Source organism: Homo sapiens, chromosome 22, assembly GCF_000001405.40.
Source record: "Homo sapiens chromosome 22, GRCh38.p14 Primary Assembly".
Taxonomy (NCBI): Eukaryota; Metazoa; Chordata; class Mammalia; order Primates; family Hominidae; genus Homo; species Homo sapiens.
The window spans coordinates 36,207,047-36,225,459 of NC_000022.11; the positions used below are offsets into that span (position 1 = coordinate 36,207,047).

The 18,413-nt window shown below is 44.5% G+C and overlaps 1 annotated feature.

The window, feature by feature from the left end:
• Nucleotides 15,042–15,201: an enhancer, noted in NCBI's record as "active region_18917". NCBI's record gives its function as "activates an Ori minimal core promoter by ATAC-STARR-seq in GM12878 lymphoblastoid cells {active_cell/tissue: GM12878}" and the evidence as "EXISTENCE:reporter gene assay evidence [ECO:0000049][PMID:35858748]".

The following is an 18,413-nucleotide window of genomic DNA, read 5'->3' on the forward strand; positions in this document are numbered from 1 at the left end:
CATAACAGACGTTTTATAGTTTCTTTTAAAACACATTTTCTCTCTCTAGTACTCTATTTCTACCAAAGACAAATCATAGTAGGACGCATTTATTTGCAAAATAAGTTTTAGTCTTCTAATACTTGGCCTGATTATTTGCATAAAGTGCAGAAGAATAATCTTGTGGCATAAGGAGTCTTTTTTAAAATTTGACTTTGCTAGGCCATTTTCGTATTCATAAGCTATCTCAGAGTAGGCCCTTTAAAACCTTGAGCTCAGCCACGAATTTATGTTTGCCTGCAGATACCTGTATGAATTGGGTGAGTTCCTTTCTTCTCGAGGCCCCATGATCACTTGGGCTTCCTGGGCCTGTCAGAAAGTGATATTCTTTATTTACCACAGTTCAGGAACCCTGTAAAGGAACTCTATAGGCAAAGGACTTAATAAAGGACTGAAATTAATTTCAGTCCTTTAGTAATTCAGTCCCATGTAATTACCTTCTTCCATTTGATATTGGCTTAGCAACCTTCCTGAACACATCAGCTTTTTTTTTTTTTTTCCAGTTTTGCTGTCAGGGCCCAGGGGAGGGAGAATAAGGAGTTATGGCTTGCTGGATACAAAGTTTCCATTTTGCAAGAAGAAAAGTTCTGTGGATGATAGCGGTTGCACAACAATGTGAATGTAATTCCACTGAACTGTACACCTAAAAATGGTTAAAATGATCAACTTTAGGTTAGGAATATTTTACCACAATTTAATTTTTGTTTGTTTGTTTGTTTGCTTGTTTGTTTTGAGATGGAGTCTTGCTCTGTCACCCAGGCTGGAGTGCAGTGGCGCAATCTCGGCTCACTGCAACCTCCACCTCCCAGGTTCAAGCAATTCTCCTGCCTCATCTTCCCCAGCAGCTGGGACTACAGGTGCATGCCACCACGCTCAGCTAATTTTTTGTATTTTCAGTAGAGACAGGGTTTCACCATGTTAGCCAGGATGGTTTCAATCTCCTGATGTTGTGATCCACCTGCCTTGGCCTCCCAAAGTGCTGAGATGACAGGAGTGAGCCACTGCACCAGGCCCAATTAAAAAAGTTTTTAAAATCCTTGAAAACCCACCTTTGCAGAAAAAAAAATAATAGCACCTGAGCCTTTTCTGGTTTGCTAAACATTTTTACACACATAATCATACAAGTTTCAACAACAGCCCTGTGATGAAAACATTTTCTTCCTAGCCTCGTTTCCCAGAAGAGAAAACAAAGGTTCAAATGGGGTGAAATGAGTTACTCAGAAAGAGGCAGAGCTGGGCTTGTAGCTGGACCTTTCTGGTTCTTGTTTTGTTTCATTTTCTGGACCATCCTGTTTCCCCTAAAGGAAATGATTTCCTGAAATTTCTCAAGTATTCTGAAAATCTAATTTTCTTCCTCACTTTCTCCCTGTTGGCTCAAGATGAATCACAAAACTCCAAATACCATCAGAATGTGTTGCCCAAGTCCCACCTGTTCTATGGCTGATGGCCACAGGGAGCTGGGTATGGCTGGGCTGGTTATGACCAACTGTAACCCCATCAAGGATTAACATGCTCCTGAAACAGACCCCATGTCCAGAAATTTGCAAAACCTACCCTGAAATGTTGACATCATAGAGTGTGCCCCAATGTCCTGTCCAGATTTCTGTCCCTCCCATGAGCTGGAGAGGATATTTGGCATCAGACAGCTGGAAATCACTTTCCCCAGTTTTTGGCTTCATGACTCAGTTTTCTTGCTTGTAGAATAAAGCTAATCATAGAATTTACCTCTCAGAATTCCTAAGAGAATAAATTCAGGCAGGGTGGGGAATATGCATGGCATATAGTAGATGCTCATTAAACAAGAATCAATATTTCTGAGCACTCACTCTGTATACAGGGCAGTGAGCAATCATGATGTCTGCATTATCTCCATTTGTAACTGAAGAAAAGTTCAGCTGCTCACTGCTTGCAAAGGCAAATGAACAAGGATGAGAAGCAGTGAAAGGAAAGTGACTTCATTCCAAAAGCCCATATCTGGGGATGAGGTCAGGCTAGTGCCTTAGAGAAACCATTTCAGATTTTGAACTGAGGGCAGGTGTTTCAAAAGGGAAACTTGATATGAAAGGCATGCAAGAGTGGTGAAGAAGTGCCAGTCTACATGACTTGTCCAATGACCATCTTGAGTTATTGCCCCATCGGGTGTATGGACTGGGGACATCTCCAGGATAGCCAGGTTGAAAATTCAATGTAGCCTTGAGGCAATTCTGTAGCTTCCTGGATGGTTTCAAGATTTCTTCTACTGGGGGAACACACTCCCAACATTTCAATGGAGGTTCTTTCTATTTTCCATAAATGTTGGCCAGCTGAGAAATAAAGAGAGACAGTACAAAGAGAGGAATTTTACAGCTGGGCTGCTGGGGGTGACATCACATATCAGCAGGACTGTGATGCCCACCTGAATCTCAGATCAGCAAGTTTTTATTCAGGGTTTTAAAAAGGGGAGGGTGTGTAAGAACAGGGAGTAGGTACAAAGATCACATGCTTCAAAGGGCAAAAAGCAGAACTACTAATAAGGGTCTAACAAAGATCACATGCTTCTGAGGGAACAGGACAAAGGGCAAAAGCAGAAATACTGATATGTTCAGCGGTGCACATATTGTCTTGATAAACATCTTAAACAACAGAAAACAGGGTTTGAGGGTAGAGAACCGGTCTGACCACAAATTTACCAGGGTGGACTTTTTCCCCACCCTAATAAGCCTGAGGGTACTGCAGGAGACCAGGGCATATCTCAGTCCTTATCTCAACCGCATAAGACAGACATCCCCAGAGCGGCCGTTTATAGACCTCCCCCCAGAAATGCATTCCTTTCCCAGGGTATTAATATTAATATTCCTTGCTGGGAAAAGAATTTGGCAATATCTTCCCTACTTGCCCATCTGTTTATAGGCTCTCTGCAAGAAGAAAAGTATAGCTCTTTTTGCCCGACCCTGCAGGCAGTCAGACCTTATGGTTGTCTTCCCTTGTTCCCTAAAATCGCTGTTATTCTGTTCTTTTTCAAGGTGGACTGATTTCATATTGTTCAACCACACATGTTTTACAATCAATTTGTACAGTTCACATAATTATCACTGTGGTCCTGAGGTGACGTACATCCTCAGCTTAGGAAGATAACAGGATTAAGAGATTAAAGTAAAGACAGGCATAAGAAATTATAAAAGTATTATTTGGGAACTGATAAATGTCCATGAAATCTTCACAATTTATGTTCCTCTGCTGCGGCTCCAGCCGGTCCCTCCATTCGGGCTCCCTGACTTCCTGCAACATCTTCCCTGGAATTTCTAAGCAATCTAACATGATTAAATAAAATACAGTGCATGGGAGGGGAGTTCCTAGTAGAAAAGGAGAACAAAGATTCACACATTACTAAAAGCAAAACAAGAAATGGACAAAGAGAGGAGACCAGAAACAAACAAACAAAAAATAAAATGGGATACTTGGTTACATTTTCATCTTCTCCATGCACTCTCTAGTACTCTTGATGTTTCTCCTATCCCCATGTACAGACCAGAAACAGACTCAGAAAATAAAATCATTTCCCCAAGGCCACACAACTGGCCTTGGCTTCCTTTTTTGTTAGAGACAGGATCTCACTCTGTTGCCCAGGCTGGGGTGCAGCAGCAGATCAAACGTCTGGGCTCAAGTGATCCCCCCACTGCAGGAACCCAAGCAGCTGAAACTACAGGCATGTGCCACCATGTCTGGCTAATTTTTTAACTTTCTTGGTAGAGATGAGGTCTCATGATGTTGCCCAGGCTGGTCTTAAACTCCTAGCCTCAAGTAACCCTTCTGCTTCAGCCTCCCAATGTACTGGAGTTGTAATCGAGTAACCCAGCATTGAAATGTACTTTAACATTATTTTTCTTTCTGTCTTAATCTCAGAATGTAGCTTTAAAATGTACTTCAAAATTCCTTTCCCCTCCCTTTCTCACCAAGCTCTCTTGTGCACAGTGCTCACTTATCTAATGATGTGGGTGCATAGAAATTCAAGGAGTGAATTTTGAAAAAAAAACAGGCAGAGAAACCCAGGTGCAAAATTCTCCGGCTTAGGGGGAGTTACCAACAATTAATCCACCACCAACAGGGTAAAGTCCAAATGATGCCAATTGGACCTCCTGACGGGCTACTTCTCAAGACAGCCATTGGAACAAGACACAGACCTGCACCCTCCTGCACCACTCCCACACACCTCCAATTCCAATTTTCCCTTTCTAAACCCCTCTCTCCAGCCTAAAGTAGAAATGATCTTTTAAGAGCATGAGCCTGATCATTCCCCCACTGTGAGCACTTGAATGAAGCTGCTTTCCCTTCACCGCAACTCACTTCCTGTGTTTTTGGCCACTGAGTGGTGAGCAGCTGGACTTGAGCCAGTTATAGCATTACAGGAGGGAGCCAATGCACCCAGCATGGCTTCCCTTTTTCACCTACTGATCCTCACGATTCAGTGCTTAAATTATAGAAATTTTTTCATTTCTAAGACAAATAATGATAGACTCACAAGACAAAACAGCACAGCTGGAAAAATAGTTGCAAAACTAGCACAGAGAGGCCCTGCAGACTCTTTGCCCAGTTTCCCCCAACGGTCCTCCAGTTCATCTGATGTAGGAGCTGGACTGGGCTGGTCTGGAAACTCAGTCTCAGCTGCCTGAAGTGGTCACTTATCCATGCGCTCCCTTAGAGGGGATGACAAGGTCCTAGGAGAAGTCAACATCAAAGCCACCTCCAAGCTGTGGTCAGCCCAAAGGAGATGGTCACAAAGGCAGAATTCAGAAGGAGGAAGAGACTTAGAGCCAAGGGTGGAGATGGAACCTAGGGGTGGGCCTTGAGTTACTTAGGTCACCGATGCCAAGCTGCCATAACAAAGAGCTCCCAATTACCGATATATTCAATCAATGATATAGGAGATTGCTGAACTGAGACATTCACACCAACGTTGCTAGGCAGTTTCAGTGGCAGGTGGTTTTGCTCCCGAAGGTCGACCAGGGGTTGCCACTCAGAGGGAGTTGTTGTTTTCCACGTGGAAGCTGGCGCTTACCCATACATCCCAGCCCAAAGAACAGAAGAGGACACAAAACACAGGAATCTTCCCCTTAAGAGAAACACCTACAAGTTGCAGACATCACTGCTCTCACCTTCCATTGGCCACAATTTAGGAAGAAGACCCCATGGAGTTGCCAGGGATACTGGGCAGTCCTGTGCCTGTGGAAACTCAGCAGCCTGATGATCAAAGACGAAAAAAAAGAGAGGAAATAAAAACGGGTAAAATGCTCAATTTTATAACTTTTAAATTTTCATCTTTTGCCACCTGGAGAACCTGAAATGGAAACGAAAAGTCACAACTTCTCAGCAGCTCGTGATCACGCAAACCCACTAAACACACTGCTCCCCGGCACCACCTTCAGCCCGGTCCCACCCTCCTTGCTGCTGCACTTACAGGAGCAACCCCAGACCCAGTGTTCCAGAACCTTCTCTGTCAACCCACCTGCCTCACATCCTCAGGGTGGGGGTCTGTTATGGTCTTCGGGAAGAAACAGGCTGTGGGACCCCCCAGATTCCTCCCCCTCTGCCTGTGCCCCCTACACTCCCAGCATGCCTGCCTTACTCTCCCCCATGCTATCGACATTAGCACAATCTCTCAGACATACCAGGTGCTTACTGCATGCTGAACTCTATGACTGTTTTTCAACACCATGCCCCTGTGGCTTCTGGACTTTTGCTTATGTGGGTTCTTCTGTCTGGAGCAATGGCTTCCACCAACTGAAAAATCATGTTCTTCCTTCAGAGCTCAATTATGGCATTGCCTCCTCTGAGAAGCCTTCCAGCATCCACAGAGTCCACTGCCCCATGCCCCACTCCCATGACACCTTGAAGGGAGGGACCTAAGTCCACTGCTGGGCCACAGTCCCACAGCTAAGAAGTCATGCAGCTGGATTGCTGTCAGACAGTTCTGCTTTGTCCCAGGCAGAAGGGCTGGAGTGGGGCTGGACCACAGAGGTCAACCTGGCCCTTCCAGGGGGTCCTAGTTCATCCAGGGCAAACATCCATGGGACATCCTGGCCACCACCCAATACACACACACCAGCTTTTGAGGGAGGAACAGAAGGCAATCACACAGGAACTGCACACTGTAGATTGCAATGCATTTATACTTCCCCTTTTGATTGCAGTTTTGTAATCATCCCTCAATGAACCAGGATCATGATCTGAGTTTGCAGGTGAGGAAACTGAGGCAAAGGGCAGGGCAGTGGCTTTCATCCATCAACTCAGAGAGGAGCCAAGACTTGTAAACCAAAAAGCGTTTGAGACAGTTCTCAATTGGTTTAGAGGTTTATTCGGCCAAGGTTGAGAACACACCTGGGAGAAACGGACGCAAGTCACTGTAGGATGTGGGGCCCACGCTTTTTCCAAAGAGGGTGTTGAGTCTCTCAGTATTTAAAGGGGAAAAATTGGGCAGGAGGGGACAGAGGAAAGAAAGCAAGAGAGAGGGAAGGTAGTGAGATAAGCAGTCCCACATTCTTCCGAGGTTGTCGCTGGGCAGGTTGAGGTTCTTGACTTTGCTGCACAAAAGGATTTGAGAGTACTTTTGAGAGTATGGCATGGGAAAGTGCCCAAGAGTAGGCAGAGAAGTTTACTGCAAAGTGAAATATGCTCTGAGAGGCAGAGCAGGCTGCTAAATGTGAAAAACAGCCCCTAGTGCCTTAAGTGGAATTCCCTTTATGGGAGCTGGGCATGCATATTCATAAGGTACTGGTGAGGTCAAGTGTGCAAAGGTGGACCTGGGATTGGCGCATGTGATCAGCGTCTCTCTGCTCTAACAAGCATTGCACATATCATTACCATATATACAATCTCCACCTAGGGATGTGTTTTTTACTATTAAAGTGGGGAAAACATCAGTAGAATCTAAACCATGAGCCTCGTTACGCAGGCAGGGCCAGGGAGAAGTCCCTAGCTCCCCCAAAGTAGGAATAGGTAGCTAATAGCTTCTTGGGCTTTTGGTGCTGATTGGCTGGTGACAGGGAAATCCACAACTTGAATAAGGGGCTTTCCTTCTCTCTCTCAGGCAGTGTAGGTATCAGGAACTTGGAACCATCTGGCAGTCGGCTGGCATGCTGTAGGACCACGTATTTTGCAGAAAAAAGTTAGGGGCTGATGCAGGAGGGTGCAAGGGATGTGAAAGGAACCTGTGGGGATTCACGCAAGGGGACAAGTCAGTGTGGCCTCCTGGCCTTACTTATTCTTCCTCAAGGCTATAATTAGCACTTCCTCAATGCACCTATGGCATGGGAAAGTTTGGGACAGAGGATCAGTCCATTTTGCATTTCTCAACGGACAGCTCTTAGGTCACCTGAGATCGAATATTTGTTTTAAAAGTACAGAGCTAAGCTAGCAGGCCTAAGTATTGTACTATCATTTGCTCTAACCACGGGGAAGAATGGCCTTAGTCAAGACGATCAGGAAAAGTAGTTTGAACAGCGTTATGACTTATGTATTTAAAGCAAAATGGTAAGAGTTTCCTAATGTTCACAGGCAGATACCCTTACAGAACAAGGTTCCCTTGAAGATGTACATTTATCTTAGGAAAGAGTTTTAAGAAGGCCAGCTAACTACTAGGAAGCTATGTTTTGGCTTTCTAACTTATCTTAATTAAATTCCTGGCTTTAGAGTGGAGCCCTTTAAGGAACAGGGTCAGTAAAGCATGCTTCTGTGTGTGTGTGTGTGTGTGTGTGTGTGTGTGTGTGTGTGTGTGTGTTTAGTTCTTCAGCGATGTTTATTTAAAAATCTAAAACTGCAAAAAAATAAAATAAAATAAAAAACAAACAACAGCCAGCACCCTCTGGGGATAATTATTCACTGTAAGCAACTGCCATGATCCATTTTTAACAATGCATTTCTTCCCGAAGTATTACACTTACCAAGGGTATTTTCTTGCGATGCAAAGTGATTTCTGATATACACCCAAAAGCCAAAAGATCAGGTAACACAACAGAAAAGAGAGAAGAGGTTTTAGACCTGACTGAATCTGTCCGCTGACCACTGCTGGGATCCCATGAGGAAACACAGGATCCCCTCATGAAAGGAAAACAAAATCTCAGGAACCTAAACTCACGATGGAAAAGTGACACTTGGAAACTGAGTCACACAACACACTGCCTTTCCTTTCCATCCTAAACCGATAGACAGGTGCTAGGCAGAAGGCCATGTGTCTCCCAGGGTGGCCGCCCTCACCCTGACACTGTAAAATCACAGTTCATCTTCACAAGTACGTGACACAAGACGACACTGGAAACCATCCCGCCACCCACCCCGACACAAATGCATATGTCAGTGCTTCCTGTGCTCTATGTTGACTTTATCTCCTGTCGATGCGGATGGACTGGGTATGAGACGAATGCAGAACTGACTGTTCCTCTGCCTGCTCCTTTCACAAGCAGCAGGTGGATTTAGGGAGCACTAATCAAACCCTCACAAGACAGTGAACACTCACCCACTACGTGCCCTCCCTCTCTTTTTATTCTTTCCTCTTTCTCCTCCTGCCCACTGTTCTCCCTTTAAATATTGAAGCTCTCAAAACCCTCTTAGGAAAAAGTGCAAGCCCCAGAACCTACAGCACCTCGTGTCTCTTCTACCCAGGCTCATCCTCAATCGTGGCTAAATAAACCTCTAAATTGCTGGAGACCTCCCTCAGACACATTTTGGGTTTACAATTGGGCAACTGCAAAGAGGTTCTGAGTGGAAGTTGCCCTTGATATGGGCAAATCTCCTGTAGGTGCCTGGTATTGTCTTGGACTATCTTAATCTCTCAAACAAATAGGATGATTTGCTGGCATCTGGGAGCTTTTCCTTCCAGAGATCCCTGATATCTCATGTATACACCTTCAATAAATTTGCTAGCCATTTTTGCCATGAATTAATCAACCTCAGGCCAATGCTTTTTTCATAGTGATCAGAGCTGTTCTTGTCTCCCAGAAGTCATAGTGATGAGAACCCAGGCACCTGATCTGCCAGCTAAAGGGTAGGAATTTTCTACCAGCCAGGCTCCTGGCCTCTCTCTGTGTACTACAGGTGAACAGATGGTAAAAATCACTGTTGGCCTCATCTGCAAGGTTTTGATTAATGGGGGTGCGAGCGGGGGAAGGTTTGTGTGTGACTCATCTTGGTCTAGCAACTCTGGTGAACATTTGGTACTTTATGGTCTATTGGAATAAAGGACACCAGGGAAAATTCTAATCATTAATGGCCATAAAACAGATAAAAATGATTTTCTAAACAACTGATGAAAAACTCAACATTGAAAAAGGACACATAGTATCACAGCTAGCTTTGAGAAATCTATTCCAAAAAATCTCACATAAAAATTAAAATCCCTGCAGGACGCAGTGGCTCATGCCTGTAATCCCAGCACTTTGGGAGGCCAAGGTGGGCAGATCATTTGAAGTCAGGAGTTCAAAAACTGGCCTGGCCAACATGGTGAAACCCCGTATCTACTAAAAATATAAAAATTAGCTGGATGTGGTGGCCTGTGCCTGTAATCCCAGCTACTTACGAGGCTGAACCAGGAGAACTGCTTGAGCCTGGGAGGCAGTGATTGCGGTAAGCATAAATCCCGCCATTGCACTCCAGCCTAGGTGACAGAGAGAGACTCCATCTCAAAGAAAATAAAAAAAATAAAAAACTAAAAAACCACACATTAAAATCTATTGCAGGTTTTACCGCCTGTTCTGGATTCTGGTTTGATATTTGTGTGATTTTGCCTTTCACTGATCCTTCTCCCCTCCATGGATAGCTATTGATTTCTGTCTTCTTTCTGTGGGGGACATAGAGGGAATTTTTATCTTTGTGTATAGGAGATCAGCTATTCTGTATCTTAAAAACAAACAAAAAAACACCTCCCTGCCACCTCCTGGAAGATCCCTCGGGCGCCCATGGTTAAGTCACAACCTTACTTCAGGCTTATTGGTTTCACTAGGAAGGTTGCCTTTGGTAGAATTCAAACACCAGAAATATCACCTGTATGTCCTGGCTAACATCTGGTAGTAAGAGGTGTGAAAGGATTTTTTCAGAGCTCTAAAGTCACAAGTCAACTTCACTGAAACTGATATTAAGGCTGTGTATGTATATATGTATCTATCTATCTATTTATTGAGAGAGAGAGAGTAGTTATGGCCATTATTCTCTCTCTATGTCTCAGTCACCTCAATTCTGTCTGTTTCTCTGTTTACTTCTGTCTTTCCCTCCTTCCTCTTGCCACCCTCCATGCAATCAAGAGAGGACCTACAGTAGTTTCTAACAGCTGAGATCCTTTGGGAAAAACAGAAAAAAGCACCAGAGTCCCTGCTGGGGAGGAACCTCTGTTTTCCTCATGCGACCTCAAGAGTTGGAAGTGGACAGATTCCTGGCAAATTCAAAACTGTTCTCTTCTATCCTAAGGCATATCTCTGTTTAAAGTTCTTTTCCTGGACCTCTTAACTAAAATTTGCTTATATCGTTTTGTAATCAGGCAGCTTAACTTCAAACTGCATTTTAAACTGGGTTTTCCTTCTTCTTTGGTTTCCAGATTTAACCTTGAAGCAAACTGCAGAAGCCTTTTTTCTTAGACTTAAAATAGAGTCCATGCCCCTCCCTTTCTCACCATATATACCCCCTATATTTATCTAAGTTTGTGCTAGTGTCTAATCATGTGCTTTCTCAGAAGTTCCATAGGTTAATCTTGAGACACACAGGCCAAGCCTGGAGACCCAGCTACAAATTTCCAGAGAGTACTCAAGGCAGCTAGTTAGCAATCCAGCCATCGTTGAGATGACGCCAGCCCAAGATCCAGGTGGACTGGGACCCAGGAGAGCCACAGGGACAGGACATACACACATACACAATTCTAGCATGCTGTCCTTATCAAGCTTTCCTTTTTAAGCCCCGGCCTTTACCCAAAAACATCAAACTGGTTTCTTTCTTTCTTTTTTTTTTTTTCCAGTGAAAAGTTTCATTTTTTCCTTCAGCTGTTATTTTAAGTTCCGGGTACATGTGCGGGATGTAAGGTAAATGTGTGCCATGGTCCTTTGCTGCACAGATCAACCCATCACCGAGGTATTAAGCCTAGCATCCATTAGCTATTCTTCCTGATCCTCTCCCTCCCCCTGCGCCAACAGGCCCCAGTATGTGTTGTTCCCCTTGATGTGTCCCTGCGTTTTCATCATTCAACTCCCACTTATAAATGAGAACATATGGTATTTGATTTTCTGTTCCTGCATTAGTTTGCTGAGAATGACAGCTTCCAGCTCCGTTTATGTGCCTACAAAAGACATGGTCTCATTCCATTTTATGGCTGCAGAGTATTCCACAGGGTATATGTACCACATTTTCTTTATCCAGTCTATCATTGATGAGTATTTGGGTTGATTCCATGTCTTTGCTATTGTGAATAGTGCTGTAGTGAACATACATATGCATGTATCTTTACAACAGAGTGATTTATATTTCTTTGGGTATATACCCAGCAGAGGAATTGCTGGGTCAAAGGGGTTTCTTGGACAAATTGCCACCCTGTCTTCCACAATGGTTGAACTAATTTACACTCCCACCAACAAAGTAAAAGTGTTTCTTTTTCTCCACAACCTCGCCAGCATCGGTTGTTTCTTGACTTTTTAATGATTGCCATTCTGACTGGCATGAAATAGTATCTCATTGTGGTTTTGATTTGCATTTCTCTAATGGTCAGTGATGTTGAGCTTTTTTTCATGTTTGTTGGCCGTATGAATGTCTTATTTTGAGAACTGTCTGTTCATGTCCTTTGCCCATTTTATAATGGAGTTGTTTGGTTTTTTTTTCTTGCTAATTTGCTTATGTTCCTTGTAGACTCTGAATATTAGACCTTTGTCATATGGAGAGATTGCAAAAGTGATTGCTTTCCAAGGGAATCCAGCCACTTCCCCTTTACTCGTTTTGGTTAATAAAAACACTTTCTTTCTAGCAGACCTCGCTCTTGTTAATTGGATGATCCAGGTGGGGAGCATCCAGACCTGCGTTCGCTTCCAGTTGTTTTTCTTCCCTTGGTTTAAGCAAAATGATACAATATTTAGGCCAAATGTTTTAGTTCTACTTTGAGATGTAAAATCTCTATCTGATGTCACCTAAGATTTGTTCCTTTAGAGTGCGAACTTTGGGCCATCTGGCTGACAATTGCTGAGGCAATAAAACAGGTTATCAAGAAATTGGTGGGCTGGGCGTGGTGGCTCACACCTGTAATCCCAGCACTTTGGGAGGCAGAGGTGGGCAGATCACAAGGTCAGGAGATCGAGACCACCCTGGCTAACACGGTGAAATGCCGTCTCTACTAAAAATACAAAAAATTAGCCGGGCGTAGTGACAGGTGCCTGTAGTCCCAGCTACTCAGAGGGTGAGGCAGGAGAATGGTGTGAACCCAGGAGGCGGAGCCTGCAGTGAGCCAAGATGGCACCACTGCACTCCAGCCTGGGCGACAGAGTGAGACTCTGTCTCAAAAAAAAAGAAAGAAGGAAAGAAAGAAAGAGATAAAGAAAGAAAGAGAGAGAGAGAGAGAAAGAAAGAGAGAGAGAGAGAGAAAGAAAGAAAGAAAGAAAGAAAGAAAGAAAGAAAGAAAGAAAGAAAGAAAGAAAGAAAAAAAAAGAAAGAAAGAAATTAGTAATCTAAAGTGGGGGAGAAAAATTTGGAAAAGTGACAAATAAAAAATCTTACAAATCTACAGGATCTGGGTCTGTACGCATCTCTGTGTGTCTATGTATTTATATGTGTTATAGGTATATAATATTTCCCCATCAAAATATATAGAAGGGTCTAATTAATTGGCTTGCCAAAAAAAGCACTTAAATCCAATATTTTATCAGAAAAATAGAAACTTTCATTTGAATAGCATTCACTTCATGTGACTTTAATAATCTTTGCTAGAGACAGTTTAAAAATTATTGGTAAAATAGAAATGTCTTCAAAACTTAATTTAGATATCTGGGCTGAATTAGTCAAGCAGGTCAGATACTATTGTCTGCTAGATGTATTAGGATAAAAAAGTTTGCTTCTGTAATACTTTTAAAGCTTGCTTATCTCATCTGTAAACCTATGTGTCTTGAGAATCAAGCCTTTGGACTAACCCCAGGCATTGCCCTTCATCCTGGGATACGCATCTGGTGCATAATTAAAACTGTTTACCTCCTAGATTCTTCAATAAAAATAAGAGTTACCAAGAGTTCACATTACAATTAATGTATGTAATTAAAACATTACATCTATTGCTGCCTAGACCACCTTCTGGCTATACACAAAGTGTATTGTGATGGTTAATATGAGGTGTGAACATCACTAGACGGAGGAATGCCTAGATGGCTGGTAAAGGATTGTTTCTGGGCGTGTCTGTGAGGGTGTTGTCAAAGGAGATTGACATTTGGGTCCGTGAACTAAGAGAAGAAGACACACCCTGAATGTGGGCAGTACCATCCCATCAGCTGCCAGTGAGGCCAGAACAAAGCAAGCAGAAGAGAAAAGGGTGAGCAGCTTGCTCATCACTCTCTCTGTCTTCCCGTGCTGGATGCTTCCTTCCTCTCCTCCTGCCCTTGGACATCAGACTTCCTGGTCTTTGGCCTTTGGACTCTGGGACTTGCACCAGCGGCCTCCTGGAGGATTACAGGGCTTCATCCTAAGACCGAGACCTACGCAGTCGGCTTCTCTGGTTTTGAGGCTTTTAGACTTGGACTGAGTCACACTACGGGCTTCTGTCTTTCCCCAGCTTGCCAAGAGCCTGTTGTGGGATTTCTGCTCGTAATCATGTGAGCCAGTTCTCCCTAATAAACTCACTTCTATGTGTATTTCTGTGTGTACATGTATTCTATTGACCATGTCACTCTGGAGAACTCTGACTAATGAATGTATTAAAGAGATAGGATGTGTTTTGATAAAAGGGTTGAAAGAGGGCATGGGACTGTGGTTCTTTTTAAGAAAACATCATTTTGTTTAGTTTAGAGGTTTTAAGGATCATTTCAAGTTAAAAGAAAGATATGGCAAAAAAGAAATTTTAAGCAAATTGTAGTAGGTTTGTGGAAGATTGATCTCATAAAAGAAACCATGTGTGATGAAGTTTGGCTAAAATTTAAAAGAAATCATTTAGTTTTTCTATAAATTGAACATGAACATAAATAGCACATGGATGCTGGGCCAGCCTCTGAACCTCTGTGTCAGAGTAATAGGGAATACTCGGTATATTGATCTGCTCTTTAACAGAAAAATCTTAAAAGCTATAAAAGATTTATGGAAATTTTACCTCATGATCAAACTAATTAAAATTTGATAGATTTGTTTATAGGATTGTATAAAATGAGCTTCAGCATTACTAATCCATTAATACAAAGGTAACATTTAGTTTTTCTCTTTTGAACAAGATTTTTGTGTAATATCAAAACATGATGGAAGAGTTTTGTTTGCCTGTTGAGCAAACTATAAAAGAGAAAGAAATGAGAGAGAGAAACAGATTCAGTTGGCCTCATGTTGTCTATATGATGTCTTATTCTTTGGGAAACTGAGTCTTCTGTCCATCACAGAGAAAAGGTTTCTGCTTTTTTGAAATCTTTAATTCTGTGTCCTTTCTCTCTGGATCATTCCAATACATACCTCTACTCTTCAGTTGGTCAGAGGATGTTTAAGTCTAATTTGTTTTTGTTCTTGCATTTGCTTTTGTCTTGGTTTTGCTTTGCTGTGTGCTGCTTGCATCCAAAGGATCTTGACTGATTTAAAAAAAAATGATACCAACCAGTTGGTTGCAGATAACAGACCCTCAGGATGGTTGGTATTTGTGGAATTAGCGTTCAGGCTGAGAGGGAGGGGGAACAACAGTGAAACTCCCCACGCCGACCAGCATAGCACCTGCTGCCACCTGGTGGAACGTGGCTGAGACAAGGAACGCTGGGACCTGAAGCAGGACCTACACTTCAAACAAACATCTGGCTTTGAAATGTTTCCTGAAGGCATCAAATAAATTGTGGCTGTCGATGTTGTTGGCTGACTCTCCTCCTATGAGAATAAAATTCAGAGACTGATTCTGTAGGTTTCTGGTTGCATGATAAATTTCATCCTAGCCAGATCTTCTAAGTGCAGCTGAGGGCCCTGATGGGGAGAGTGGTGTATTAGTTCCTCCCCTGCTGTAACAAAGCACCACTGACCTGGTGCCCACGCTCTCTTTTCTTCTGGCCATAACCTGCCTCTCCCAGAGTTGGCCTCTTAGAATTTCTCCTAAAGAGACCAGGGTCCCAGCCCCTCCCCAATTTCAGAGAGTTCCTGGTAATCCATTTTTTCTTTGTGTTCACTTAAACCAACACAAAGTTGCTCTCTTCCAGTTCTGGAGGTCAGAAGTCCTAAAATCAAGGTGTGGGCATGGCTGTGTTTCTTCTAGAGGCTCCTGGAGAAGCCATTCCATTGCCTTTTCCAGCTTTTAGAGACACCTGCTGGCCTTGGCTCCTGGCTCCTCCCTTCATCTTCAAAGCCAGCCTTGTAGTGTCCTCTGATCTCTCTCAGTCTCTCTCCCCTTCCATCATCACATCTCCTTTTCTCCCTGTCACCTTACTGCCTCTGCCTTATAAGGACCCTTGTGGATACCTTGGGCCCAACCCAGATAATTCCAGATAACCTCCCATCTCCAGATCCTTGGCTGGATCACACTTGCAAGGTGCCTTTTATGATGGAAGGTGACATAATCACGAGTTCCAGCATTCGGATGCGCACATCCGTGGGGGGCTGTTATTCAGCCTAATACAAGATATATCCAGAAAATTGCAATAGGGATGTCGGAGGGGGATTGAAGAATCCCAACTCCAAGCCACATCTAAGGACGCTTCCAAGGTGCAGCCCCTGATGGAGGAAGCTGCTCCATCTCTGTTGCCCCTGCCCCCCATGAGTTTCTAGACAGCCAGTGTTCAAGTCAGTGTGGCATGAGAGTGAACTGCAGAATGGAAAGGAGTGAGACGCTGCAGCAGGAGAAGGAGCCCACCATCAAACTCCAAAGAGCTGGAGACCATTTGTGCGGTGGAGTCCGAGAAAGGTCGGCAAGGAAGGGGAAACATCATTTGGGTTCCTTGCCATAGTTGTCCTCAGCTGGCATGGTTTGCTCCAGCAGCAGGCTGGGATGCCAGCTGTGCCCAGGGCTGGATGAGCCACCCTCAAGTAAATGCTGGCCACTTCGTTGTGACGCCAAAAATTCAGAAATGACTTGGTATGACAAAGAAGAAGGAGGACTCAACGTGCATAGGAGATTGGAAGGTTAGATTGGATTTCTCAGGTCCTTCCTGCCCACACTGCATCCTGTGAGGGCCCAGGAGATTTCTCTTTCCTTTGGTGAGAAGAATCAATGGATAACCAGGAACTCTCTGGAATGGGGGACGGGCTGGGACCTTGGTATCTTTAGGGTGGGAGAAATTCCAAGAGGCCAACTCCTGGGGAGGCAGGTCATGGCCAGAAGAAAAGAGAGTGTGGGCACCAGGTCAGGCAGCAGGGAGTGCACATGATCACGGCTCAGGGAAATTCCACAGGCACACGGTCCCAAAATAGAGCCGGCGGAGAGTCCACTGACTTTGCACAACCACCAACTTGGTGGGCAGACACCTGTCACAGGTCATCATGCTGGATGGCCCCTGCTTGTCACCCAATTCTCAGGCCTGACTCATAGGACAGACCCAGAGCCCTTGAAGGAAAGGGAGGTCAGGAGTCTGCGAAAGGCCCTGTCATTCCCCTTAAGTGCAGCCTGTAAGCGTTCCTCCTACCTGTTCTCCCTGGACCTGGAGCGTCCTCTCAGATCACAGGGGACGGCTTAAAGGAAACTCATCCCCAGGACTTCTGGATCCTGGCTACACTGACACCAACTCCTGGGACCCATAATAACTCAGAGTGCCACTGTGGCCTTCCGGTCAGAGGAGGAGATTACAGGGGGACAAGTAATCAGTGAATACCTGATTTCAGTTTAGCTTTCAGTGAGTCCATTAGGAACCTCCCCTCACCTGGTCATCATGTTTTCAGTTCCTGGGTGGATCACTGGAGTGCGTATTCTTGGAAGCTGCAGATTGTTAACCCAGACCTCCTGAACTAGGAAGAGGAGAATGGATGCTGTTCTCTCCCATGAAACAACTTTGTTCCATCCCTGGGCCCTAAATGCTGACATCTTTGATTGTAGAAAGCAGACATCTACCTCTAGTTTGCAAAAACTACATAGAGATGAATGACTAACAGCAGTGAAAAGACCATGAGGGCTGAATTCAGGTGCTTACAGTGAGTCATCACTGTAAGAACAGGCCTCTCTCAAATTCTGCTGCACTTTCCGCCCAATCCACCTGCTCCAGCCAGACCTGGACTGCTGTGGAACAACTCTCAAGGATGATTCCTGAAGAGCAATGGAGCACACCTCACAGTCCAGGCTGCCTGGAAGGGGCGGCGTCCTCGGGCCAGGATCTGCATTGTTTCTTAGGTAACAGCTGAAGATTTGGCTGGAAGTTCAGCCTGAGGCAAGCCCATGGGGATAAAGGCCATGGATAAAGGCCTCCCTCTCTCCTCCCTGGAGACAAAGATTCTGAGGACGCTTCTTGAAGGCACCTCGGAAGGTCTCATTGCCCATATGGATGACCCATTCAAAAACTTCTCCTTGTATCAACTTTTCCTCCTTCCCTCCTGGATCCTCAGTTCTGCTCCTAGAATCACTTCCCACACAAACCCTCTACACCAGAACGTTGCCCCTGGCTCTTCCTTCACAGGACCCCAGGCCACAACAGGCTACTTTAGGCAGCATCATGGCCTACATCTTTGTGCTAAGAGTAATGGGAAGCCATTAGAGGGTTGGAAGCAGGTGCTCAATCAAACCTATGTTCTTAGGTGGGCATGGTGGCTCATGCCTGCAATTGCAGTCCATTGGAAGGCCAGGGTGAACAGATCACCTGAGCTCAGGAGTTTGAGACCAGCCTGGGCAAGATAGGGAAACCCTGTCTCTACAAAAAAAAAAAAAAATACAAAAATTAACGAGGCATTGGGGTACACACGGATGGTCCCAATTGCTCAGGGAGTCAAGGTGGAAGGATAGTTTGAGGCCGGGAGGTCCAAGATGTGGTGAGCCATGATTGTGCCACGGTTTGCCAGCCTTGCAACAGAGTGAGAGTATCTGAAAAAAAAAAAGAAACTATATTGTTAAAGCCCAACCTGGCCCAGTGTGGAGCATGGTCCAGGACATGGGAGGGACAGGGGCAGGGGCACAGAGAAGACCATTCTGGAAGTTCTTGCAGGAGTCTGGGCAAAACGTGAGGACAGACTGGATGGGAGTGTTTGCTGTCTGGATGTCTCTCTTTGTCCCTCTATTTTTCGCTGATCCTCTCCCAATCTGC